At 47.6% G+C, this 27,802-nt stretch overlaps 1 long non-coding RNA gene across 1 annotated transcript in view; it reads right to left on the reverse strand.

The window, feature by feature from the left end:
- Positions 1 to 18,843: 18,843 nt before the first annotated feature.
- The window catches only part of LOC105371191 (translation initiation factor IF-2), a 32,299-nt gene continuing 23,340 nt past the window's right edge, over positions 18,844 to 27,802 (reverse strand). The window contains exons 6-7 of the long non-coding RNA XR_005647012.2: positions 25,556 to 25,662; positions 18,844 to 20,372 (exon numbers count right to left, since the gene is read on the reverse strand). This is a non-coding gene — a long non-coding RNA (translation initiation factor IF-2). The remainder of the gene's footprint in view (positions 20,373 to 25,555; positions 25,663 to 27,802) is intronic.

Genomic DNA, 27,802 nt, shown 5'->3' on the forward strand with positions numbered 1-27,802 from the left:
AAATGTTAAAAACAATTTTATTTACATAGTGCATCCACACAGACCTAATTATATGTATTAAACCTAATGTTTAACATTATTAGCAAGTCAGAGAATTTAGAAAAATCAGACATAATTTTAGATAAAATAAATATTAATACTAGTCATTAATATAATCCCTGTTTGATAAAATGACTATATGAAAATAACTGCCCTCAAATTATTTTCAGCTCACATATTTTTAATGAAAGGAGATGGTGGCTGGAGGCAGTGGCTCACGCCTATAATGACAACACTTTGGGAGGCCAAGGCCGCGGATCACTTGAGATCAGGAGTTCAAGACCAACCTGGCCAACCTGGTGAAACTTTATCTGTACTAAAAATACAAAAGTTAGCTGGTTGTGGTGGTGGGCGTAATCCTAGCTACTCAGGAGGCTAAGGCAGGAGAATCACTTGAACACAGGAGGTGGAGGTTGTAGTGAGCCAAGATGGTGCTACTGCACTCCAACCTTTGTGAGAGATCAAAACTCTGTCTCAATGAATAAATAAACAAGGAGATGGTATGGAATCATTATTAATTTTGGGCCCCTCATGTTAGCTAATATGTTTAAACCTAGGTCAAGATAGAAACTGACCCAGATTATTACCATGTTTCAGTGCATAATATTTTAAAATAATTCAACACTGACACATAATACTATGCTATTCCACTTAGATATAAAAAAATGGTAAGAGAAGTCTCATGTTCTTGTCCCGGCATGGTCACTTACACCTGTAATCCTAGCACTTTGGGAAGCCAAGTGGGGAGGATCCCTTGAGGCCAGGAGTTTGAAACCAGACTAGGCAACACAGTGAGACCTATCTCTACAGAAAATTTAAAAACTAGCTGGGCATTGTGGCAAGCACCTGTAGTCCCAGCTACTGGGGAGGCTGAGGAGGGAGAATTGCTTTGCTCAGGAGTTCCAGGCTACAGTGAGCTATGATCACATCACTGCACCCCAGCCTGCGTAATACAGTGAGACCCTGTCTCTTAAACAAACAAAAAATAATCCCAGAACTCTAATGTTCTTATATGATATAGGACTTTTAAAAATTAGCCAGGCATGGTGGCGCATGCCTGTAGTCCCAGCTACTTGGAAGGCTGAGGCACGAGAATCACTTGAGCCTTGGAGGTGGAGGTTGCAGTGAGCCGAGATCATGCCACTATACTCCAGCCTGGATGATAGAGCGAAACTGTCTCAAAATAAATAAATAAATGAATGAAAGTACACCGAAAGTTTTAACTTAACAAATTTTATTTATGCCTCACATTGATGGAGTGATAAAAACAAATAAGTAATACTAATGAACGTATAGGATATTTTACAATTTTTTTAAAAATTAGAACTTTATGTATACAAAGTAATTTAATTTTTTTTTTGTTTTTTTGAGATGGAGTCTCGGTCTATCACCAGGCTGGAGTGCAGTGGTGCGATCTCAGCTTGCTGCAACCTTTGCCTCCTGGGTTCAAGCAATTCTCCTGCCTCAGCCTCTCCAGTAGCTGGGACTACAGGCACGCAGCACCACACCCGGCTAATTTTTTGTATTTTTAGTAGAGATGGGGTTTCACCATGTTGGCCAGGATTGTCTCGATCTCTTGACCTCATGATCCACCCGCCTCGGCCTCCCAATGTGCTGAGATTACAGGTGTGAACCACCATGCTCGGCTGCAAAGTGATTTAAATTTATCAACAATTTTATCTTAACGCAAAATTTTTGTCATTTGTGATATTTTCCAATAGCTTATCCGAATTCCTTAGGATCAGATTTCAAAATAAGATTTCCAAGTCAGATTCTTTGAAATTACAATCCAAAAATATTTAGATTTTAGAAAGGTAATGTGGTAAATATTCTGCCTATTATGGAATAACTCTAGTGGCAAATCATATGAATAATCACATGAACTGGGATCAATAAGACTATAAATACCCCTGGTCAGGTGCAGTGGCTCACACCTGTAATCCTAGCACTTGGTGAGGTTAAGGTGGGTGGATCACAAGGTCAGAAGATCGAGACCATCCTGGCTAACACAGTGAAACTCTGTCTCTACTAAAAATACAAAAAATTAGCTGGGCATGGTGGCAGGCACATGTAGTCCCAGCTACTCGGGAGGCTGAGGCAGGAGAATGAATGGCGTGAACCCAGGAGGTGTAGCTTGCAGTGAGCCAAGATTGAGCCACTGCACTCCAGCATGGGTGACAGAGCAAGACTCCGTATCAAAAAAAAAAAAAAAATTAGCTGGGTGTGGGCAGGTGCCTGTCATCCCAGCTACACGGGAGGCTGAGGCAAGAGAATTACTTGAAAACAAGAATTGGATGTTGCAGTGAGCCAAGATCATGCCATTGCACTCCAGCCTGGGCAAGAGCAAAAACTCTGTTTAAAAAAAAAAAAAAAAAAAAAAAAAAACTATAAATACCCCTACATCAGCATAGATCAGATTTTCCAAAACTTAGGTTTAGGTATTCATAACTGTTGAATTTTGTAATTCCACATGAAGAATTGTAGATCTGCATATATTTTCAAATACTAATATTTATAATTACATAGTTTATAATTTATAAGTCCAATTTTTGGTTATTTTCATTATTAATACTTTTCCAGTCATCTACCCTTTCTAAAAGAGAATACAAAATGCTTCTTTTCCTTTTTTTTTGTTTTCAAGGCTAGAACCAAGATGGGGCAAAGGCCGGGGCAGATCTAGGGCACAAGCAGGGCAGGCTAGGGCAGGGCAATGGCAGGGCCAGCCATGGCAGGGCACAGGTGGGGCAGGGTCAGTGCCACGGCTGGGGCAGGACAAGGACGAGGACCGGGGTCCAGGCCAGGGCAAGGGTATGGCCAGGGCAGAGGTAGGGCCAGAGCCAGGGTCTGGGCAGGACCAAGGCAGGTCCATTGCAGGGCCAGGGTTCAGACCAGGGCCAGAGTAGGGCTGGGACAGGGCCAGGGCCAGGACCTGGAAAGGGCAATGTCAGGACAAGGGCCATGGCAGGACCAGCAACGGGGCTAGGGCCAGGACAGGGACAGGGAGAGGGTCAGGGCTAGGGCCAGAATAGCATACCAGGGTAGAGCCAGGCCAAATTAGGGCCAGGACAGGGTCAGGACCAGGGCTGGGTCAGTGTATGGCCTTAAGTATTGAAGGGCCAGGGCCAGGGTCCATGCCAGTGCCAGCGCCGGTCTAGGGCAGAGGCAGGGCTATGGCCAGGTCTAGGACAAGGCTGGGGCAGGGCCAAGTTCTGGGTCAGGGTCAGCACAAGACCAGGACAGAGCCAGGAGAGGGACAAGGCTGTGGTCGGGCCAGGTTAACTCAGGGACAAGACACCTGAAAATCCACTTCAGGGCCAGGGTCAGGGCAGCACCAGTTCAGGGCCAGGGCCAAGACAGGGCCAGGGCCAGAGCTGTCAGGGTTATTGGCAGGGCAAGGGCCATGGCAGGACCAGGGTCAGGAGCAGGGGTCAATGCCAGGCCAAGGCCACAGATAGGACCAGGTCTGTGCTAGGGCCAGTGTGAGAGCCAAGGCAGGGTCAGGGCAGGGCCAAAGGGAGGGCAGGGCCAGGGCAGGGTGGAGCAGGCCCAGGGTAGCACAGGGTTAAGGTAGGGCACGACCAACCAGGGCAGGTCTATGGCTGGGGCTGTGGCAGGGCCACGTCCAGGGCAGGGCCAGAGCCAGGGCAGGGCCAAGACAGTGGCAGCTCCAGGGCAGGGCCAGGGTTAGGACCACGGACATTTCCAAGGCCAGTGCCAGGGCAAGGGCAAGGGCAGGGCAGGGCCAGGTTCATCTAAGAACCAGGGACAAAGCCAGGCCCACAGCAGGGCCAGGACAAGCACCTGGCAGGGCTAGCATCTGGGACAGGGCCATGGCAGGGCCAGGGCCACAAGCAGGTCTGTGCTATGGCCAGGTCCAACACAGTGCCCAAGTAAGGCTAGGGTGAAGGTCAAGGTAGGGCCAGGGCAGGGTCAAAGCCAGGCTAGGGCCAAGGCAGGGGCAGGGCCGGAAGGCAGGGCCAGGAAAGCATAGGGCCAAGGCAGGGCAGGGCCAGGCCAGTGCCAAGACCTGGGCAGGGCCAGGGAACAGCCAGGGCAGGGCCAGGGCCAGGGCCATGGCCATGGCCTGGGCAGGTCCAGGTTTGGGGCAGGAGCAAAACAAGGGCAAGGACAGTGCAGGATCTTGGCACAGCCAGGGTCCAGGATAGTGTCAGGGCAGGGCCAAGGCAGGGTCTGGGCCATGGTAAGACCAGCAACAGGGCTGGGGCTAGGCCAGTGACAGGACCAGAGTCAGAGCAAGGGCCAGAGCAGTGCAAGGCCAGGGTAGGGCCAGGCATTTCAGGGTCAGGGCCAGGGGAGAACCAGGACAAGGTCTCAAGCAGGGAAGGGCCAGGGCCAGGGCCAGGGCCAGGACAGGTCCAGGGCAGGGCCATGACAGGGTCAGGGGCTGCGTTAGGGCAAGGGCAGGGCCAGAGCAAGGTAAGGGTCAGGGCCAAGGCTGGGGTAGGGACAGGGCAAGAAATATGTCAGGACCAGGGGCAATGCCAAGGCCAAGGCTGGGCCAGGGCTGAGCCAGGCCAGAGTCAGGGCAGGGCAGGGCAGGGCATGGTATGACCAGTGCAGGACAGGACAAGAGCCGGTCCACAGAGAGAGCAGGGCTGATGCCAAGAAAAAGCCACGCTAGTGTCAAGGCTGAGGAAGTGTCAGAGCATATCCAGGGCAGGGCTGGGTCCAGGGCCAGAATCGAGCCAGGGCACAGCCAAGGCAGGGTAGGGCAGGGAAATAGCAGCAGGGCCTAGCGAAGACTAGGGTGAGGGCTAAGGTAAGGCCAGGGCAGGGTCAAAGGCAGAGTAGGGCCAGGGCAGCATGATGACACATCCAGAGCACAGCAGGGCAGGGTGATGGCAAGACCAGGGGCAGACCACTGCCAGCTCAGGGCCAGGGAAAGGCCAGTGCAGGGCCAGGAAAGGGTCTGGGTCTGGGTCAGGGCCAGGAACAAGGCAGAGGAGGGCCAGGGCCATGGCAGAGTCAGGGCAGGTCCTTGACAGGACCAGGTTCCAGGCCAGGGCCAGGGCAGCAGCAGGGGCAGGGCCTGGATAAGGGTAGGGCCAGGGATATGCCAGGACCAGGGCTAGGGCCAGGGACAGGCCATAGTGAGGGCAGGGCAAAAGCCAAGGCAGGGTCAGGGCAGGTCCAGGGAGCGGCCAGCACCAAGCGGGGCCAAGGCACAACCATTGGGTAAGGCAGGGCAATGGCACCACTGGGCCATGACAGGGCAAGGTCAGTGCCAGGAGAGGGCAGAACAGGCAGGCCCATGGTGGGGCCAGGGCAGGGATGGGCCAAAGCAGGGCCAGGACATGTCCAAGGCCAGGTCAGGGCCAGAACAGGAGCAGGACCATGACCATTGGCAGGGCCAGTGCCACGACAGGACAAGGGTCAGGACAAGGGGCAGGGCCAGAGCCAGGGCCAGAGCCAAGGTCAGGCCAGTGCAGGTTCAGGGCAGGGCCAGTGTCAGGGCAAGACCAGGGCAGGGACAGGGTATCACAGGGCCAAGACAGGGTCAGGATGGGACCAGAGCAGGACTTGGCCGAAACAGTCCAGGTAATAGTAGGGCAGGTACACGGCAAGGCAGGGCAGTACAGGGCCAGATCCATGGCAGGGGCAGGACAAAGCCAGGCCTATTGCCAATGCACCAGTCCTCCCTACAAGGCTCCTACCACCTGGCCACTGCTGCAGCCCGTCCATCACTGCAAGCCTGACCCCCAACCCTGGCTGCAGCCGCCTGCCCTCCTAGCGCGGCCGCTCTCCTACCGCTCCGGCGCACTGCAGTCTCCGTTGCTGCCACCCACCTGCAGCGAGGCGAGCCATGGTGTCGCAGGCTCTAGGTGTCTCCTCCTCCTCCTGGCATGGAGCAGCTGGGCGGGCAAAGCCAGAAAAGCCTAGAGGAAGATGTGAGGGGCGGAAGGGTTAGAGCCTCAACTTGTCATGCTGGCCACTGGGTGGCAGGGGCCAGTTTCAGCAAAGGCACTCACACCCACCCTCCAAAGTCCAGCCTCTCCTTTTGGTCCAAGCTGGCCCGGAACTGGAGTCTGGGGTGGGTGCTGGAGATACCACAGCACCCAGCTCCCCACTCCACAGGAATCATTGGGCCCACTGGGGCTGCACTCCTCGGGGAGCAGGAGAAGCAGAAAAATTCAGACCCAGCCAACCCTCCGCACCTAGGTGCCAATTCCTGTTCCAGACGCCTCCACACACAGGGCCCTGTCCCCCGTGGTGTCCCCAGGGGTGCCTGGCAGCCTCTGAGGCACAGACCCAGAGTGCACAGGCCCAGGAACCACGGTGGGTGTGGGGGCTCTGCCATGCTCAGGATTCCCACGCAAACGCTGCATGCCTGCTGCACTCCAGTATGACCAAGAGTGGGTCGCCCTCTGGAATGTGGAGTCAGGGAGAGGAGAACCACTCCTTCCTTGGATGCCAACTCTCCTGACCGCCGTCAGCAGTGCAGCCACTGATAGCACCGAACTCGCCCCCCCTCCACGGCTAGTCCTGCCCTCAATAGCGCCCCCCACCTCCGTCCCCCAATGCCACCAGTAGCGTATACCCTATAGTGCCCTAACGTGTCCTCCTCCATGGGCATTGCAGCCCCAGAAAGTGCCCATAACCCACCCTCCCTGCCGTGGGAAGTGCAGCCCTGTACAGTGCTACCAACCAGTACCCCTAATGCAGGCAATGACACCCTGCATAGCGCCCCCAACCCACCCCACACTGCAAAAGGTGCAGCCCTGGATAGCCCCTGTCCTACCACTCTGGTCGTGCTGCACACTCTGTCACCGCCACCACCAACCACAGTGAGGCAAGCCAGTGGTCCACAAGCTCTAGCACCCAGCAGCCAGGCATGGAGCAGCTCTCACCGATGGCCAGCTCCTACCACTCTGACCACGCTGCTGTCTCCCTGGCCATCTTCTTTGACTACAAAGGAATAAAACTAGGTATCAGTAAGAAGAGTAATTTTGGAAACAATACAATCACATGGAAGTTAAACACTACCCTCCTGAATAAATGACTAGCGGGTCAATGAAGATACTAAGACAGAAATTCAAAAATTTCATGAAACAAAGGGTAATGAAAACACAGTATACCAAAACTTGTTACGCAGAAAACAGTACAAAGGCAGAGATTTACACTATAAGTGCCTACCATCCAAACAAAAGAAAAACTTCAAATAAACAATACATCTTAAAGAACTAGTAAAGTAAGAACAAACTAAACCGAAATTAAGAAAATAACTAAGATCGTAGCAGAAATAAAATTGAAATAAGAAACACACAAGATTAAATGAAAAGTTGGTTTTCTGGAAAGCTAAACAAAATTGACAAACTTTTAACCAGGCTAACTAAGAAAAAAGAGACAAGATTCAAATAAAATCAACAGATTAAAAAAAAGGAGACACTACAACTAATAACTTCAGAAATTCAAAGGATCATAACTGGCTATTACATGCCAATAAATTGGAAAGCCTAGTAGAAATTGGCAAATTCCTAGATGCATAAAACCTACTTAGGTTGAATAATGAAAATATCCAAGACCAGAACAGATTGGTAACAAGTAATGAGATTGAAGCCATCAGAAAAAGTCTCCCAGTAAAGAAAAGCCCAGGAACTGATGTCTTCACTGCTGATGGCTTCACACCAAACAATTTAAAGACCTTGTACGAATCCTACTCAAACTATTTTGAAAAACAGGAGGGAATACTTCCAAACTTATTCTATGAGACCATTATTACTGTGATACCAAAATCAGACAAAGGCATCAAAGAAGGAAACTACAGGCCAGTATCTCTAATATTGATGCAAAAATCCTCAACGGAATACCAGTGAATCAAATTCAGTAATACATTAAAAAGATAATTCATCATGATCAAGTGGAATGTATCCCTGGGATGCAAGGGTCACTCAACATACAATGTGATGCATCATATCAACTAAATAAATGACAAAAACAGTATGATCATGTCAACTGAAACTGAAAAAGCATTCGATGAAATTCAACATCCCTTCATGCTATTAATCCTCAAATAAACGGGTACAGAAGAAACATACCACAACATAATAAAAACTACAGGAAAGACACCCACAGCTAGAATCATATGGAGGGAGGTCCAGGCTGCAGTGATCTGTGATCCCACCAATGCACTCCAGCCTGGGCAACAGAGTGAAACCCTGTCTTAAAAAAATATGTAAAAAGAGGTATGAGCCTCTTTTATAGGTGCAGTGACTCACATCTGTAATGCTAACACTTTCTGGGAGTCTGAGGTGAGAGGATCTCTTGAGGCCAGGAGTTCAATATCAGCCTGGGCAACATAGCGAGACCCTTCATCTACAAAAAAATTTAAATATTTGCCAGGTGTGGTTGCATGTGCCTGTATTCTTAAACAATTATCAGATGACCCAGATAGTCTATTCCTTAGGGATATACCCAAGGGAAATGAAAATATACATCCACACTAAAATTTGTACACAAATGTTCATAGCAGCATTGTTCATAATAGCCAAAAATTGGAAAAAAAACTCAAGTGCCTATCAACAGAGGAACTGATAAAATATGGTATATCCATTCAAAAGATTACTCAGCATTAGAAAAGAGTGAAGTGCTGATATACGCTACAGCATGGATAAACCTTGAAAACACTGTGCCAAGTGAAATAAGTCAATCACAAAAGACCATATGTAGTAAGATTTCATTCTGTGAAATCTCCAGAAGAGCTAAACTCAGAGACAGAAAGTAAGCTAGTTATTGCCAGGGACGAGAGGAAAAGGGAATAAGGATGACTGCTAATGGGTATGGGATTTCTTGTGGACTGATGAAAATGGTCTGAAAGTATCTAGACACCTGTCTTGTTTGTGTGATTCTGTGAACATATTATAAACCATAAAATTCTGCACTCAAGGGGTTGATTTCATGGTAGGTGAATTTATCTCATTTATCTTTATCTCAATAAAGCTTTCTAAAGAAACTTTAAAAAGACATCTGTATAACCTACAAAAATAACACACTGAGAGACTAAAATGCCTAATTTTTCCATTTTTCTTCTTCAGCGCAATCTGAAGTCAAAAAGTCTTTCCTTCCTATGTATGCATATTTTGTCCAGTGAAACAAGAAACTCTATTAATTTTTTTATTAGAAATAAAAAAAAGCCATGTGTGCTGGCTCACAGCTGTGCTTCCAGCTACTCAGAAGGCTGAGGCAGAAGGATCACTTGAGGCCAAGACTGGGAGTTCAAGACCAGCTGAGGCAACATAGCTAGATCCTGTCTTTAAAAATATTTTTTAGGCCAGGCACGGGGGCTCACGCCTGTAATCCCAGCACTTTGGGAGGCCAAGGAGGGCAGATCATTTGAGATCAGGAGTTCAAAACCAGCCTGGACAACATGGTGAAACCCCATCTCTACTAAAAATATAAAAATTAGCCAGATGTGGTGGTGGGCACCTGTAGTCCCAGCTACTTGGGAGGCTAAGGCAGGAGAATTGCTTGAGCCAGGAGGGTGGAGGCTGCAGTGAGGCCAAGATCATGCCAATGCACTCCAGCCTGGGTGACAGAGCAAGACTCTGTCTCAGGAAAAAAAAAAAAAAAAAATATATATATATATATATATATATGTATATACACACACACACACATATACATATATATGTATATATATATTTTTAAGTTAAAACCCTCCTGAAATGAAATAAAATAAAATTCGACTTAATTAAAAAATAGTTCCTGAAATATTAATTTTCAAACAATTCTATTTTAGCTTTGACTCTGAACAAAATATAAACGTCAATTTCAAAATATCACAAAGATTGGCTGGGGGCAGTGGCTCATGCCTGTAATTCCAGCACTTTGGGAGGACGAATCAGGTGGATAATTAGAGGCCAGGAGTTCCAGAGCAGCCTGGCCAACATAGGGAAACCCAGTCTCTACTAAAAAAATACAACAAAAATTACCCGGGTCTAGTAACCCCAGCTACTCAGGAGGCCGAGGCATTAGAATCGCTGGAATCTGGGAGGTGGAGGTTGTAGTGAGTGGAGATCATGCCACAGCACTCCAACCTGGGCGACAGACTGAGTCTGTCTCAAAAAAATAAAAATAAGGCCAGGTGCCGTGGTTCACGCCTGTAATCCCAGCACTTTGGGAGGCCAAGGTGGGCAGATCACTTGAGGTCAAGGAGTTTGGGACCAGCCTGGGCAACATAGTGAAACCTCCTCTCTACTGAAAATACATAAATTAGCTGGGCATCGTGGCACACACTTGTAATGCCAGCTACACCAGAGGCTGAGGCAGGGGAATCGTTTGAATTCGGGAGGTGGAGGTTGCAGTGACCTGAGATTGTGCTACTGCACTCCAGCCTGGACGACAGAGTGAGACTCCATCTCAAAAAAAAAGAAAAAAAAAGAAAAATTTAAATTTAAAATTTAAAAAAATCACAAAGACTACAAATACTCAGGTTTAAGCAAATTCCCGCCTTTCTCGAATTAACAGTAATTCATATTTGCTTTGTCAAAAATGTTGATATTTACCTGCCTCAACAGAATGAAATCCTAAAAGCCTAGTGTTCTCAAATGATGAAGAGAAAGACACATGCATATTTTAATTTAGAATTTTGATTCAGAATTAATTTTAATCTAGCTGGAGTATACATAATCGTTTATGTATTTATTTACTTATTTAAGAGACTGGGTTTCACTGTGTTATCCAGGATGGAATGCAGTGGCACAAGTTGGCTCACTGCAACTTGTACGTCCTGAGCTCAAGCGATCCTCCCACCTCAGTCTCCAGAGTAGCTGGGACTTCAAGTGCACGCTACCACACCCAGCTAATTTTTGCGGAGACGAACCTCGCTATGTTTCCCACACTGGTCTCTAAGTCCTTGGCTCACTACAGCCTCAAGCCCCTGGGCTCAAGCAATCTGCCTCCCAAAGTGATGAGATTACAGGAGTGAGCCACCGCAATCGGCCTAGTGGATAGTGTATACTAAGCAACATATACCCTGCTTTTGCCTAGAACATACTGAAAACATGGCATTAAAACAATCACAAAAGTTGGGAGCTGAGAAAAATCATATACTGTAAAACAAATCTGACAGATATTAATCTCAGGAAGCTCCTGAAAATGTCTCAAGAACTCCTATGCTGCACTCTCCCTAATAATTTAGACTTTCTACAGATATTTTCTGATCATCTACCGTGTGTCAGGCACCATGCCAGGTACCAAGATGCCATGGTGAGGAATACACAAAACCGGCTCCTGCTTGCAGGACACCTACTCTCTCAAACAGTGCTTGCCAAGCTCGACTGATCACAACTTGGGAGCTTGTTTAAGTTCCAAATCGGCTTCCCTGCTTAGGTGAGCCACAATCCGTGGCATTTTTATCAGGTGCTCCCAATGATTCCTACGCTCTAACGGGTTTGGGAGGAAAGGGTGGGGGTTAGCTCGAGAGCCCAGACCCATCCCGTCCAGCGGGGGCCCCACCTCTAAAGTCCATGTCGCTCAGCATCCTTCCCCCTGACTAGTGGCCCAAACACAGCAGGAAGCTGAGGTGGGTGGAACGCTTTCCAAAACAGCACTCTGTGATGAGCCACCGACAGACTTGCTCACCTCCGGGGACGAAGAGCTCCCTCCTCACAAACCCCACCCAGGAAAGGTAGCACCTGAGCCTCCCGGGCTGCACTGACACCTGTCTCCCCGCGGGTGCCGCCTACTGCTCCAGTGGACTCCAGTCCCCAGGTTCCGACCCACGGGGACTGGGGAGAGTGGGGGAGGCGCCGCGAGCATTAGGCGCCGACTGTATACCGACACCCCCTCTCCGGTGTGCGCAGGCCAACACCCATACACACCCTCACACACCCACACCCACTCTAGTGGAAACTGAGGCAGGCAGGCTTTGGACCAGGTCCCGCCGCCTGAAGGCTCGCAGCTGGGATGGAACCCGGACTGCGAGACGCCTTCCGCCTCACAGGCGCTCCTCAGCCTCAGGCCCGGCCTGGCTCCCACCGCCGGAGTTTCACAAAGAAAGTCTCCCGGCCCGAGCCCCTCACGCACTCACCGGCACCGACGCCGGCGGCGACTCGGGCTCCCGCCGCCTTCAGCTCCTTGTGGTGGTTGGCCCTTGGGTGGGCTCCGGCGCCAGCGGCGGCGATTGCTCCATATCCACGGGGTCCGGGCCGCATCCGCCTCGATCTAACGGTCCCGCCAGCTAGGCGCGCGCGCCGGTTCCGCGCGCCATGTTCCCGCCGTGCTGCGCACCGCCCAGGTGACCCTCGCTGCCCGCTAACCGCGCGCGCGCCCCCGCGGGCCCACACATGAACCGCGCACGCGCGCGTTAGCCGCACCCCCTCCCCGTGCGCCCCGCCTCACGCCCTCTAGAGCTGGCGGCTGTTCCCAATGCCTTGCCCACCCCTGCCGGGCCCGTCGGACTCGGCGGGTGAGTGCGTGGTTCCCCGCTCCGCACCGCCGCCTGCCTCTCTGCAGACCACCCCGGACCCAACCCCTCAGCCACTTCCCCACACTGCCCCTTTCGCTTCCCCCACCACGCGGGGCCTAGGAAGAGGGTCTGGGCCAAGAGGAACTTCCCCGCAAGAAGTACCGAGCTAAGGACGCTACTAAGGGGGCGGGATCGCCACCGTGGAGGTGTGCGAGCACATGCCTGCGTCAGGGAGACAGCCAGAGTCAACGGAGAAGCTGAGTTCAAGTCCCACATCTCCACTAACCCTTGCGTGTTAGGGTCAGGGCTTCGGGACTTGTTTCTCCTAAATCTTTTTTTTTTTTTTTTTTTTTTTGAGACAGTCTCGCTCTGTCACCCAGGCTGGAGTGCTGTGGCGCGATCTCGGCTCACTGCAAGCTCCGCCTCCTGGGTTCACGCCATTCTCCTGCCTCAGTCTCCCGAGCAGCTGAGAATACAGGCGCCTGCCACCACGCCTGCTAATTTTTGTATTTTTAGTAGAGACAGGGTTTCACGGTGTTAGCCAGGATAGTCTCCATCTCCTGACCTCGTGATCCTCCCACCTCAGCCTCCCAAAGTGCTGAGATTACAGGCGTGAGCCAGCACGCTCAGCCTGTTTCTCCTAAATCTAAAGACTCAATATAATAATCAAGAGAACGCCTCAGCACCGCGCCTAGCACTTAGTAGGTAGTGATCAAGAGAGAAGACCTCTTAAGTGGTTTTAATGGTTAAGGACCACAGGTTCTCAAGAAAGGGAAATCTCAATTCAAGTCCCACCTCCATCTCTTGGAAACTGAGAAACCTTGAACTAGTCACTCAGAGGAGCCAAAGATCCTTGATTTCTACATGTGCAAAAGGGGAGTGTGGCAGTAGCACTGCAGAGGGTTGACTGAGCTTTCAGGGTGATGATGACTATATGATCATGCCTCTCTTAATCATGGGATGGTTCTGAGAAATGCCTCCTTAGGTGACTGCAGCATTGTGCAAACAGCAAAGTGCATTTACCCAAACCTTGTATAGCCTACTACACACCTAGGCTGTATGGCGTAGCCTATTGCTCCTAGGCTACACACCCTTACAGCCTGATACTTTACTGAATATACCATAAGCAGTTGTAACACAATGTAAGTACTTGTGTACCTGAACATAGAGAAAATACAGTAAGAATAGAGTATAAGAGATTTTAAAATGGTACTCCTGTATAGGGCACTTACCATGAAATGAGCTTGCAGGACTGGAAGATGCTGTGGATGAGTCAGTGAGTGTGAAGGCATAGGACCTTACTGTACACTACTGTAGACTTTATAAACACCATATGCTTAGGCTACACCAAAAATTTTTAAAGCTTTTCTTCAATAAATTCACCTTAGCTTACTGAAATGTATCTTAAAAAATTTTGCCGGTCATGGTGTCTCACACCTGCAATCCCAGCACTTTGGGAGGCCAAGGCAGGAAGATCATTTGAGGTCGGGAATTCAAGACCATCCTGGCCAACGTAGTGAAACACTCATGTCTACTAAAAATACAAAACTTAGCCAGGCATGGTGGTGTGCACCTGTAATCCCAGCTACTCAGGAGACTGACACAGGAGAATCACTTGAACCCAGGAGGTGGAGGTTGCAGTGAGCCGAGATCGTGCCACTGCACTCCCGCCTGGGCAATTACACGCATGGAGATGTCATCTCCTGTGATAAGAATGCCTTCTTCTTCCAGAATACTTCCTGAAGGACCTACCTGAGGCTGTTTTATAGTTAACTATTTTTTAATGTAAGTAGAAGACATACATTCTAAAATTATGAAAAACACTAAATACACCAGGGCTGGGCACAGTGTCTCATGTGGGTAATCCCAGCACTTCAGGAGGCTGAGGCGGGCAGATGATTTGAGGTCAGGAGTTTGAGACCAGCCTGGGCAGTGTGGTGAAACCCCATCTCTGCTAAAAATACAAAGATTAGCTGGCCGTGGTGGTGGGTGCCTGTATTCCCTGCTACTCAGGAGGCTGAGGCAGAAGAATCGCTTCAACCTGTGAGGCAGAAGTTGCAGTGAGCCAAGATCGCGCCACTGCACTCCAGCCTGTGCAACAGAGCAAGACTCTGTCTCAAAAAAATAAAATAAACCAGTAACATAGTTGTTCATTATCAAGTATTATATATTGTATGTAATTGTACATGCTATGCTTTTATAGAACTGGCAGCACAGATTTGTTTACACCAGCATCACCAGAAACACAGAAATGCATTACCCTAACATTACAATGGCTATGTCACTGAGCAATAGGAATTTTTCAGCTCCATAATCGTCTTATGGTACCAGTGACTTACATGTGGTTTGTCATTGACTAAAATGTCATTATACAACACATGACTGCATATCCCAGGGCCCAATGCCTGGCACACACAAAGCTGAGTTTCACTGGTGTAATTCCCACCCTATCCATCCAAGAATCCTAAAAGTTTAATGAAAGGGGCTCTGCTCCCAAAACCCTGTGGTATAAGTAGCTGGGAGGAGTTCGCCCGACTTGGGGCTGCAAGGACTCTTTCTTCCCACCTGTTTGCTTTCCTTTCTCTCCCCCAAACTTCTCTGAAAACCCTAAAGTTGGCAGAAAAATGGAGAATGTTTTCCCTACTAACAAAAAGAATCTTCAAGAGTCTCTTGGGATTTGTAAATGGTTGCATTTACTAGTCTGTTTTTTTTGTTTTGTTTCTTTGTTTTTGTTTTTGTTTTTTTTTTGAGATGGAGTCTTGCTCTGTCACCTAGGCTGGAGTGCAGTGGCACGATCTCAGCTCACTGCAACCTCCGCCTCCCAGATGCAAGCAATTCTCCTGCCTCAGCCTCCTGAGTAGCTGGGATTAAAGGCACGCACCACCACGCCTGGCTAATTTTTTTGTATTTTTAGTAGAGACAGGATTTCACCATGTTGGTCAGGCTGATCTCAAACTCCTGACCTCATGATCCACCTGCCTTGGCCTCCCAAAGTACTGGGATTACAGGCATGAACCACTGCACCCAGCCTTCTAGTTTGGTATTTTTCTTATTCAAGTAACAAGGAAAAAAAAAATAACTCCACCAAGAGTAAAACAGAAAAAAGGAACAAAACTGATAGCATGACTGAAAAGGCCTGGGGTGGTACCTCACTTCAGGCATAGCTGGATACAGGCACTTATACAAGATAAGTCTCTCTAATCTCTCACTGCTTGCTTCCCTTTGATTACTTCATTCTCACGCAATTCTTTCCACATAGTGGCCTGAGCAGCTCCTAACTCACATCTGCGCAAGAAAGCAGAGGCTGTTCCCCAATAGTTCCAGCCAAAGTCCCAGGACTGACTTTCACTGGACCCGTTTGGGCCACATGCCCCTGCCTGAGCCAACCACCACATCCAGCCTGGCCAGACCTGGCTTTCATGAAGCTCCTTCAGGAAGCGGTTGGGGTCATCCCCTCCAGAAGGACATGGGGAAAACCAGAAAGTGGGAGGAGGGATGCTTCCTTCTGGAAAATAGGGATGCAATTACCACAAGAGGTATCAGGTACAGGGCTGGCACAAACAAGAGCTATCCACGGCACCATCATGTAGGCATGCAGCAGGTCCACCATGAAGCAACCTGGCTGCTCCGCAAAACGGAGTCACAGTTAATTCAGCCAATGAGAAATATCCCTCTACTTGGGTTCCCACCATTCACCCCAGGCCTGGCACGTCCCAAATTTCCTTGGTCAAAGGCAAGCAAATTACCCGCCTTTTATGCTGCACAAAAAGCTGAAAAGATTGTCTTACTTCTCTGGCTCAAGAACTTTCTATGACTCCCTCTGGCTACTTATGTGGCTCCCCCACCCTTAATGATAGAAGCCAACATTCATGAATCCCTTACCACATGCCAGGTACCTAATGGACCTGCCTCCTCCAAACAGCATAGAAGAGGTTGGTACTCTTACTGCACCTATTTTATAAATATGGAAACAAAGGCTCAGCAATTTGAGGTAATTTACCCAGAGACAAAGTTAGGAAGTGCAGAGTTCAGATTAGCACAATATTGTTCCCGCCATTACCATCCCAGCTCCATTTGTTCATGTTTCAAAGTCTTACACCCACCTCTAGCTAGGGGCCAGTGGGAACCGCTCCACGGCAGAAGAAGCCTCTAGGAACCCCTTCAGCTTCTGCAGTGGTGGGGCTGGGGAGTAGGTGCAAAAGATACTTAGCTTTACCATCCTCTCCCATGACTTTTTTTTTTTTTTTTTGAGATAGATTCTCACTCTGTCACCCAGGCTAGAGTGCAGTGGTGCGATCTCAGCTCACTGCAACCTCTGCTTCCTGGGTTCAAGCAATTCTCATGCCACAGCCTCTGGAGTAGCTGGGATTACAGGTGCCCACCACCACACCTGGCTAATTTTTGTATTTTTAGTAGAGATGTGGTTTCACTATGTTGGCCAGGCTAGTCTCAAACTCTGGACCTCAAGTGATCCACCCACCTCAGCCTCCCAAAGTGCTGGGATTGCTAAGCCACCATGCCTGGCCCCATCTCCCATAACTTAATGGGATAGGGAAAAGAATTCCTCCAAGATAAAATTAAAGTGAGGTTAGGAAAGGAAGTAGGTGTTTGTTAGCCTTAAGTCAGCAGCTGATTTCTCCCATTGGTGAGTCAATTAGTTTTCTATGGCTGCTGTAACAAATTACCACGATCTGATTGGCTTACAACAACACAGACTTAATATCTTATTGTTCTATAGGTCAGAAGCCTCAAATCAGTTTCACTTGGCTAAAGTCAAGTTGTAAAGTACTGATTTCTTCAGGAGGCTCTGAAGGGAAAACCCATTTTCTTGCCTTTTTCTGCTTTTAGTGGTTACCTATATTCCCTGGATTGTGGCCCTTTCCTCCATTTTTAATGCACACCACTCCAATCTCTGCACAGTGCTATGGTTTGAATGTGTTCCCCAAAGTTCATGTGTTGGAAATTTAATCCCCAATGCAAGTGTTGAGAGGTGGGACTTTTAAGAGGAGATTAGGTCATGAAAGATCTGCCCTCATTAATAGAGTAATGATGTTATCTCAGCAGAGGGTTAATTATCATGCGGATGGGTTCCTAATAAAAGGATTGAGTTCAGCCCCCTTTCTCTCTTGATGTGATACCTTCCATCATGGGATGACACAGCAAGAAGACCCTCACCAGAAGCAGGCCCTTTGATCTTGACCTTCCCAGCCTCCAGAACTGTAAGAAATAAACTTGTTCTTTATAAATTACCCAGTCTCAGATATTGCATAGCAATACAAAAAAGACTAAGACACTCAGTCACCATCGCATTGGAATCTCCCCTGACTGCTGAGTCCCTCTTAAAAGAGCACTGTAGGCTGGATGTGGTGGCTCATGCCTGTAATCCCAGCACTTTGGGAGGTCAAGGTGGGCAGATCACGAGGTCAGGAGTTCGAGACTAGCCTGGCCAACATGGTGAAACCCCATCTCTACTGGAAAAACAAAAATTAGCTGGACATGTTGGCGAGCACCTGTAATCCAGCTACTCGGGAGGCTGAGGCAAGAGAATCGCTTGAATCTTCGGAGGTGGAGTTGCAGTGAGGCAAGATTGTGCCATTGCACTCCAGCCTGGGCACCAAGAGCAAGAAACTCCGTCTCAAAAAAAAAAAAAAAAAAGCACTGTGATGGGACACTGGGCCCACAGGCAACATAGGATAAGTTCCCATCTCAAGATGCTTAATCACATCTGCAAAGTCCCTTTTGTCATGGAAAGGAACATAGTCACAGATTCTGGGGATTAAGTTGAGGACACTTTGGAGGGGCCATTATTCAGCCTATCATGGAAGATATCATGAGAGGGAGTTAATACAAAATGCTCTGGAAACAGAGAAGGGCGGCCGGGCATGGTAGCTCATGCCTCTAATCCCAGTACTTTGGGAGGGAGGCGGGCAGATTGCCTGAGGTCAGGGGTTCAAGAACAGCCTGACCAACATGGTGAAATCCCATCTGTACTAAAAATACAAAAATTAGCTGGGCATGGTGGCAGGTGCCTGTAATCCCAGCTACTCGAGAGGCTGAGTCAGGAGAATCGCTTGAACCCAGGAGGCGGAGGTTGCAGTGAGCTGAGATTGCACCATTGCAGTCCAGCCTGGGTGACAAGCATGAGACTTCATCTCAATCAAAAAAGAAAAAAAAGAAAAGAAACGGGTTCCGTTGGCCAAAAGGGGGTCTGCTAAGTCGGGTGGGGGGCTTAGGATTTTATTTTTAGTTCTCAAGGGAGATAAAATAATTTAATCCATTGGCCCCTGTGACTGTGGGACTAACATGGCTATGATCTGTCGGACAGACTTCAGGCTGGCACCCAGGCAAAATTGTATGCTGTAGTAAATGCATCATGCACATTTGTAACAACACGTACATAACAATGTCACAAAATACTTTCATGGTGACACCTAGATTAGTGTTTTATTGAATAGCTGATGATATAAACTGGCTCATTTGGTGCCAAGACTGACCATCACCACCATACCAAGGTCATCACCGATCAGAGGCCTAACCCAAGGAGGGGGTCATGTGCAGGCCCAGCGGTAGGGAGGAAAGATGCCGCAGAGGAGACGGATGCCCACAGAGGCCCCTGAGCGGATACCATGCTCACTAAGTGGTAAGTATAGACTCAATGTAGGCTGTAAGCTCTCCCCCTGTGCAAATGGGACCCCATCCACTTGAGAGTCAAGGGTCTGTTTGGGTGGCAGGGTTAGCTACTTCTGAAGGTAGAAAGGAAAATAAGCCACCAAATTGGTACCTTTCTGTGAAATGGACATCGTGCTCAGAATCTCCATTTTCCCCACAACCTGGAGGAATAAGTACTGTCATCTGCATTTTATAGCTGAGGAATCTGACTGAACAAAATTGAATTACTCGCCTAAGCAATTAGCAATTAACCAAGTCTTTCTGACTCAGAAACCCAGCTGTTGCCTGTTCATATCCAGCCCCCTGTATTGGTGTCAAGATCTGGCCTGTTCTCAATGCAGCAAGATCCAGGCAGATCACACTGGACTCCCAGCACTGAATCTGGCTCAAGGGGACATCAAATTTGACTGGGTCATGGGGCTCAGGAGCATCACTCTCAAAAATAGCAGTACAGGAAGAGGCGATGGCCCTAAACAGCACTTGCAGGCAGATCCCATGTTAATTGTAAGGGTCAGGACTCTCTCACTTTTCTGTCTCTCTCTCTGTCTCTCCTCTAGGGCTGACCCCACATTGGACACCACTGCTTCCATGTCCATCACACACCACAGCTGCCTTTTCTTCTGCCTGCTTATGGGAAAGTCCCCTCCTCTCCTCCGTTTTCTTCTCTTCCTGCCCTATCACACCGTGCACTTCTCCCTTTCCTTAAAGAACCACCATCAACTTTAGGAGGAGGGAAAGGGGTGGCTCTGGCAGGAAAAGCCAGAATCCCCTCTAGCCAACAGAGAGAGAGAGGAATGGCTGCATGTTTTCTCCCTCAATCCAAGGCACTGGGTCTTGGCTGAGTTGCAGGTTCCAAGCTGCTCTCCTGCTGTGTCGGTGAGTTCTGGTCAACCTGCAACCTCCTGACGTGGCCACTGCAGTTCATCGAGTCTTCAGGGACTCCCCATGGCCTAGAGTACTTTGCCTTGCTTACACGGGAGAGGAGAATGGATTTATAGAGAACATCATCTAAATCCAACTTGACCATTGTGTGGCCACACTTGCTAGATTGCTATAGTCTAAATCTAGCATTGTAGAAAGACGGGGGAGCTTGGAGCTGCACAAACCCAGGTCTGGAAATGGCTCCTTACCTTGGAAGGTGAATGATCCTGGCAGGACTTAGCCTCCCTGGGCCTCAGTTTCTTTATCTGTTTCATGGGAATGAGGATCTCTGCTGGTTGGTTGGGTGATGCGGGGGCTGTGTGAAAACAGCTTGTCAATACAAGCCGAAATAGAAATATTTCTCCACAGAGTATGAAGGTCAAATGAGAGAATACATTTAAATTAAATGGAAAATTAAAATGGCAAAAAAGGCAAAGCTGTATTCAAAGTTCCGAGCTTCTCTATAAGGAGCTTTTTGACTATGTAAGAATCCTGTACTCGTTCCCCCTAAATACAAAAAAAAAAAAAAAAGTTGAAGGAGGCAGAAGGGAGAGTGATGCACGATGGGCGAGGACTTCACCTGCTGTTGCTGGCTTTGAGGATAGAGAAAGAAGGCCACAAACCTAGAAGCTGGAGCCCCTAGAAGCTAGAAAAGGCAGGGAGCCGATTCATCCCTTAAGCCTCCAGAAGGGACATAGCCCCGCTGGCACCTTGATTTTAGCCCAGTGAGATCCTCTTAGGAATTTTGGCAACCAGAACTATAAGACAGAAATGGAAGCCACTGAGTCTGTAGCTGTTTGTTGCAGCAGCAATAGAAAACTAATGCAGAGCCCAAGAAATCACTGGTGATGAGATGGGGAAAGTGGGCTCAGGAGGTCTGGATCTGTGATGAGATGGGGAAAGTGGGCTCAGGAGGTCTGGATCTGTGATGAGATGGGGGAAGTGGGCTCAGGAGGTCTGGATCTGAGGTGCGGATCTGGAGTGGAAGGGGAATTCATTTGTTCATTGTCTATCCTTTTGCATTGATTGAGTTTTTTTCTATATATATGTGTGAATTTTCACAATAACAGTTTTTTCCAAAATAAAATAAAAGAACAAAAGGGGCTTTTTGCAACCCAAATCCTATCTATGTCTGAGTCCACTTGTATTGAATGAGTCTTTCTGCTAACGTCCTTATATTTGGGTGACAATCTGAATGGCAGTGACCAATCAGAGCAGAGGCAAACCTTGGAGTGGGCAGGGCATCCTGAGGGCCCTGATTCCTGCCATGAGTCATAACTCTTTAGGTGCCAGACCATGGGGAGGTCCAGGGGTTGCAGGGGAGGGCTGTGCATCTGCAATGACTCTCAGGGGGCTCCTGGTGGTGGCAATTGGTGAATCTGCACAGTGGTGTTTCAATATTGTCACAACCCTGCTGTCTCTCATGCTCTCAAAAAGCATTCCTCTTACCTGTGACAGACTTCCTACACCTAACAGCTTGCAAAAGTGTTCCAGGTTAATGAGAATAATCTCTCGGAGCCATACCTCCCTGCTTGGGGTCTCAGTTTCCCCAACTGTCTCCAGACAAGTTAGGCTAGAAGGCCCCTGAGCCTCAGCCCCTCTATACCCCTCCTGTCACCCAGACCTGATCTGGGTCTTGCACCCTGGGTGCAGCATGACAGGGGTGGGCAGGGGCTGGCTCTGGGCCAGAGGACCCTTTCTGATGGACTTCAGCTGTTGGCCTTGCATGGGAGACAGATCAACCGCACAAGAGTCATACGGTGAGTAGCCGTGGGCAAATCCATCCCCCTCGTCTTAGATTTATGGGGAGACAGACAAAGAGGAGACACTCCAGGAAGACCTGCAGGTGGGAGTACCAGGTTGAAACCAAGGACACCTTCCTGGAGGAGCTGCTGCTTGAGCCAGCTCTGAGAACAGGTGGGGACAGGACTGGAGAGGAGGAGGGGGTCCCCTATGAGCAAAGACTGGCCACCACCCCACCTAACACCCCCACAGGGCCCCTGTGGCATCCCTGTCCAGTCCCTGTCACCACCCAGTTTTTCCCTCTGGACCCAGGAATTCAAAGTAAGCAAGGAGGTCCGCTGCTCCAGTTGGCTGCAAATAATTACAACCTTAAGCCCAAGCAGCACTTTGGGTCCTGGTTTGGGACCATGAAGCGACTCGGTGAGACTGAGAGGTAAGGCCAGGGCAGGAATTGGGACAGTAGGATTGAACTCTCCCTGGGGGCCAGCCTCAGAAAGCCTGTGGCCATAGCCTCTTGGCCAACATCAGATCCTGTGGTCTGGCAATGCCTGGGGTACCCAGACCTCACTCTGGACAGGCCCTGGGAGGGGGCCCTGGTGAGATTCCTGGCAGCCTCACAGCCACTCTTCTGTCCGTAGCTACAACCTATCATGCCAGCTGGAGGCTCCATCCCAGTTGGCTGGGAGCACAAAGGCCAGGAAGATAGACATCACCCACCACAGGGGCCAGTCGGGGCCTGAGCCAGGGCGGGCAGAGGTTGGCTGCCTTGGGATATGGGTGGGCTCAGGGAGTCAGACAGCAAGGGACTAGCCTCCCATCCTACTCCTGACCAGACCTGTGACTGGGGAGAGTCACCTTACTTCTCTGGGCCTCAGTTTCCCCCTCTGTGGAGTGACGCTAAATGATCTCTCTGGAGACGGGGATCAATAGGGCACTGGTGATTGACCAGGCACTCAGCACATGCCTGGAACACACAGTGCAGGACTGTGGTGGGGAGGTGGCCTGAGATCCTGGGGAGTCACCCATGTGTGCCTGCCCTTCCGACCAGCCACCAGGCCCTCAGGGCAGAGCCCACTACCAGCAGCAGCTCACACCCCGAGACCAGCTCAGAGGCGGCCCCTACCTCAGCAGCAGGGACATCACGGACACTTTAAGCTGGTACTAGGGTGGCTTCTCCAGCTCCCACGTGGAGAGGGGTCCCAGCTGAGTCCCACTCACGTGGAGTCTCATGCCCATGAAAGCGCCATTCACCACTGGCCAGGCTCATGAGGCCGCATGAGGGGGGTCACTGGGGAGGAGATATCGGGGGAACAGAGAGGATGGCTGAATTTTTGTATAATAGGCAGTGCAAGTGTTTACCGTTTGGGAGGGGAAAGGTTTGTTATTATTAGCAATGCTACACTTGAATATTATACTAAAATCCAGTCTCTCTATAACCTGGGAGTTGCTCTTTTGTTCTTTCTTTTCCTGTCTTAATTAAAATGAGATGCAGACTCTCACGGTCCACAGTCAATTAAGAAATCTTGCACGGCCATCAGGTTATGTCTTGGAGAGCAGAGTTTCAGTACCATCAGCCTGGCAAGGAGCTGGGCCTGCTCCTCAGAGCTCCCGGGACTGCGAGATTTGGCGTGTTCACAGGGCACCGTCACAGCCTCTGAAACATGCTGTCTTTAAAGACTTTTGCCGTGGCTCACTCACTCACAGTGGGACACGGTGGCTCACTCCTGTAATCCCAGCACTTTGGGAGGCAGAAGCGGGTGGCTCACTTGAGGTCAGGAGTTAAGAGACCAACATGGCCAACATGGCAAAACCCCATCTCTACTAAAAATACAAAAAATTAGCCAGGTGTGGTGTCAGGTGCCTGTAATTCCAGCTACTCAGGAGGCTGAGGTAGGAGAATTGCTTGAACCCAGGAGGCGGAGGTTGCAATGAGCAGAGGTCACACCACTGCACTCCAGTCTGGGCAACAAGAGCAAAACTTCATCTCAAAATAAAAAAACAAAACAAAACACAAAGACATTTGCAAGGACCATGTCCTCACCCAGAATGGTGCCTGCCTTTCTACAGTTTTTCAGGAAGAGGAAACATTTTCTGCTTCTCTCGCTGAGGTTTTTTTTAACCACCCATTAGGAACCTATAGATTTCAGGATCGAACACTGGGATTCCCTCAGCACTAAAGGAGGAAAATTGCAAACAGAGCTGGAAGTGCAATGTGGAAAGGTCAGGCTGAGGAAGGTTCTTAGCCAGTAGACCAAGGGCAGGAAGGACACTGCCTCCTCAGTCTCCCACTAGGGAACTTGTGATTCTTGTCCCCTGATGTCAGAATTCCTTGTCATGTTTGTTTTGTCTCCAAGGGAAGGGTTTGAATTTCAGAATTTAAGGCTAGAGTGGGCCTCGTGCAGTTAACATTAACCCTCTCTCTCCTTCGCTGGCCGAGGTGAGGTCCAGGACCATGTAGTTCTGACGTCCACTCTCTCGGGGGATCACCAGTTCACCCATCTCACCCGGCAAGCTGGGCCCTAGTTTGGCGACAGGCATCTTCCACCCACCTGGGAGGCAGGGTTCAACACTCTGCCTCTGACCTTGTTTCCTTCTTCTGCCACCTGCTTAGGCAACCAGAAGGGGTTGTCCAGCCAGCACCTGGGCTTTAGCGCTCCTCAACCAGGTGGAGGAAGTTTCAGGCACCTGGCTCCTCAGGTGTCTGCCATCCAGGTGCTCTTCAGGCTTGCCCAGCAGAGCTCTCTTGATCCAGCTAGAACTGGCCAGAACTGACTCACTCAGGAATGTGTAGACTTTGGCATCAGGGGCTGCTTTAATTTGCACAATTTCCAAATACCTCTTTTTTCTTCTTTTTCTGATGAGTCATCTCCCTAGACTTGCATTTTAAAGAGATAGATAGTTATCAGGTTCCAGAGAAGACGTGGTAGAACATTTATATCTCAAAGACACAGAGCTGAGACTTCAGGTTGAGATATGATAATTTGCCTAAACCAAAAAGGAAGGTGTAGGTAAAGTTCTAGTCAAGACAGGATGGCCAGGAAAAACACCTTAAACCAAAGGATGGCTTGCTTTGCTGATTTAAGCCAATGGCTTCTTTATCATAAGACTTCCCAGTGATTTAGTCCTCCCTCTCTTCCAGTGCACAGAGACATACCCCTCCTTACAAATTAAAAATGTTCTTTATAGATGGAAATTTATTTTACAAAAATGTTTCAAAATAACCAGATGAAAATCATCCTTATGCCAGAAAGACTTTATTTTTTTATTACTAGAAATGAAACACTAAGTATTTGTTGTATTGACATACTTAGGCTTAGACCTATGTTTAACAAGAAAGCCTTAATAATAGCACTGTGGTTAGACTCTAGCCTATTTTTCCAAACCATCATTTTATTATTAAGGAAACAAAGGATCAAATACCTTTCATTCATCTGATATGATCCTTTAAAACACATTCCACCAATAAGTCCTATTTGGAACAGCTGAAAATCTTTTAATAAAACTTTTTAAAGATGAACTCATGGCTTAGTGTAAATTTCACAAGCTTAATTAGGTCAAGTGGAAGGAACTCAGATGAGTAGTTGCCCAATCAGAGCCCATTATTTGTAAGTCATCAGCCCCCTCCATGACCTTAAAACTCCACTCTGACCTAATTATTGCAAACCTATACACAACAAAGTGAAAGGATTAATTTTCATTCATCAACCTCTCAATCCCAGATTTTCAAAGAAAAAAACCTGTGTAAGGAATACTTACCAAAACCAGACAGGAAAATTAGAGCCTGCATACTTAAGAGTCAAATTTGTTCCACTACAGCCAGGTCGCATACAGTTACATCATTTGGTTCTTCATACACTCTAGAACTGACCAGGACAGAGTTTAGCATAGAAAAACTGTAAGAAATAGGTTCTGAAACATAGAAATTGCAAAGTTCAAAAGGCTATGAAAAAAACGAATGTAAATGAGACTTCCCTCCCTTTGTTTTAAATAAATAGACCCATCAGAGAAATGCAAATCAAAACCACAATGAGATACCATCTCACACCAGTTAGAATGGCGATCATTAAAAAGTCAGGAAACAACAGGTGCTGCCGAGGATGTGGAGAAATAGGAACACTTTTACACTGTTGGTGGGACTGTAAACTAGTTCAACCATTGTGGAAGACAGTGTGGCCATTCCTCAGGGATCTAGAACTAGAAATACCATTTGACCCAGCCATCCCACTACTGGGTATATACCCAAAGGATTATAAATCATGCTGCTATAAAGACACATGCACACGTATGTTTATTGTGGCACTACTCACAATAGCAAAGACTTGGAACAAACCCAAATGTCCAAAAACGATAGACTGGATTAAGAAAATGTGGCACATATACACCATGGAATACTATGCAGCCATAAAAAATGATGAGTTCATATCCTTTGCAGGGACATGGATGAAGCTGGAAACCATCATTCTTAGCAAACTATCACAAGGACAAAAAACCAAACACCGCATGTTCTCACTCATAGATGGGAATTGAACAATGAGAACACTTGGACACAGGAAGGGGAACATCACACACCAGGGCCTGTTGTGGGGTGGGGGGAGGGGGGAGGGATAGCATTAGGAGATATGCCTAATATAAATGATGAGTTAATGGGTGCAGCACACCAACATGGCACATGTATTCATATGCAACAAACCTGCACATTGTGCATGTGTACCCTAGAATTTAAAGTATAATAAAAAAATAAAAAAAGAAAGAAATAGATGTTCTGTAAAAATATACACAATTTTTACAGACAAATACATTTATAAGTTGTTTTTATCTTAAAAATTGGGGATATTTCATATTTATAACTAATTATTGAGCCTTAAGTTTTCTTGGCCATTTCTAGGCTAATAAACTAAGAATCATGTAAACTAAGCCAAAGTAGAATAGTCATAAAAGTCCTGAACACTTCAACTTCCTATTCTTCAAGAAGTATACTTGGCAAATCTCATTTGAGAGAGGAAAAGCTTTCCTCCACCCTCTGTTTTACAGCGCTGAGGCTTCTCATCACATTTCTATGACTTGTAGCTTAATCCATGTTACATGGTCACTGGCATTATTAGTGCTTCTCTTTTAACACTGTAGGAATTAATCAATTTGGTGGTGTATTTAATTAATTCTATCACTAGAGGATTGTAAAATTACATATATGAATACCTCACTTTAGAGGCCACTTAATTTTTTTCCAAGGGGATATTTGACTATATTTCACTTGTGTCTTAATGATTTTATAATTTAAACCCTAAATTATAAATCTAGAATTTAGAAAGTATATTTCCTCACTGGATTACATTTTTGGAAATATTATTTTATATGTGCACAAATATTACAAAATCACCGTAGACACCTGAAAACTATATTATCTTTTAAAGGCAATATTCTACATTAAACTGCTATAACAAAATTGTTTGGTGCATTTTTTCTAGTACATTTTGTATATATTACATGTTTAACCTTTTTTTTATCCAGCAAATAATTTTTGAGTATCCACTAAGTGCTAGGTTCTGCATGACTAACTGAATTTAAAGAGTGAAATAACAGACATGGTCTCAGACAATACAAATTAACATTAGGTCACCTATTTATATATTTTTAAATGGTAATTATGAAAACTTTTTGAGATTTTTAACTAGATAACATTATAATAACACACTTGATGTTGTTAATATTTGCCAGTGAGCAAAAAAGAAAATAAAAAGATGGTTTTATTCAATATACACTTTAAAATTGCAGGAAATAGTCAAGTTTCTCTGCTTTGCAGTTGAATGTCTATGTGTTTTTCTCTGCAACTTGGCTTTTGTGGAGTGAGAGAAACAATTATTCTTCCAGCCCAATGAAGGCAGAAGAGTAACAATAAATCTAATATTTTAAATGCTTATCAAAAGGTAGTAAACATATTATTTCAGAATACTGAGATCAATAAGTTGACCTAGAAAAAAAGCCAAACTGACAGTATTACTGAAT

Source organism: Homo sapiens, chromosome 16 (genome assembly GCF_000001405.40).
Source record: "Homo sapiens chromosome 16, GRCh38.p14 Primary Assembly".
NCBI classification, from domain to species: domain Eukaryota; kingdom Metazoa; phylum Chordata; class Mammalia; order Primates; family Hominidae; genus Homo; species Homo sapiens.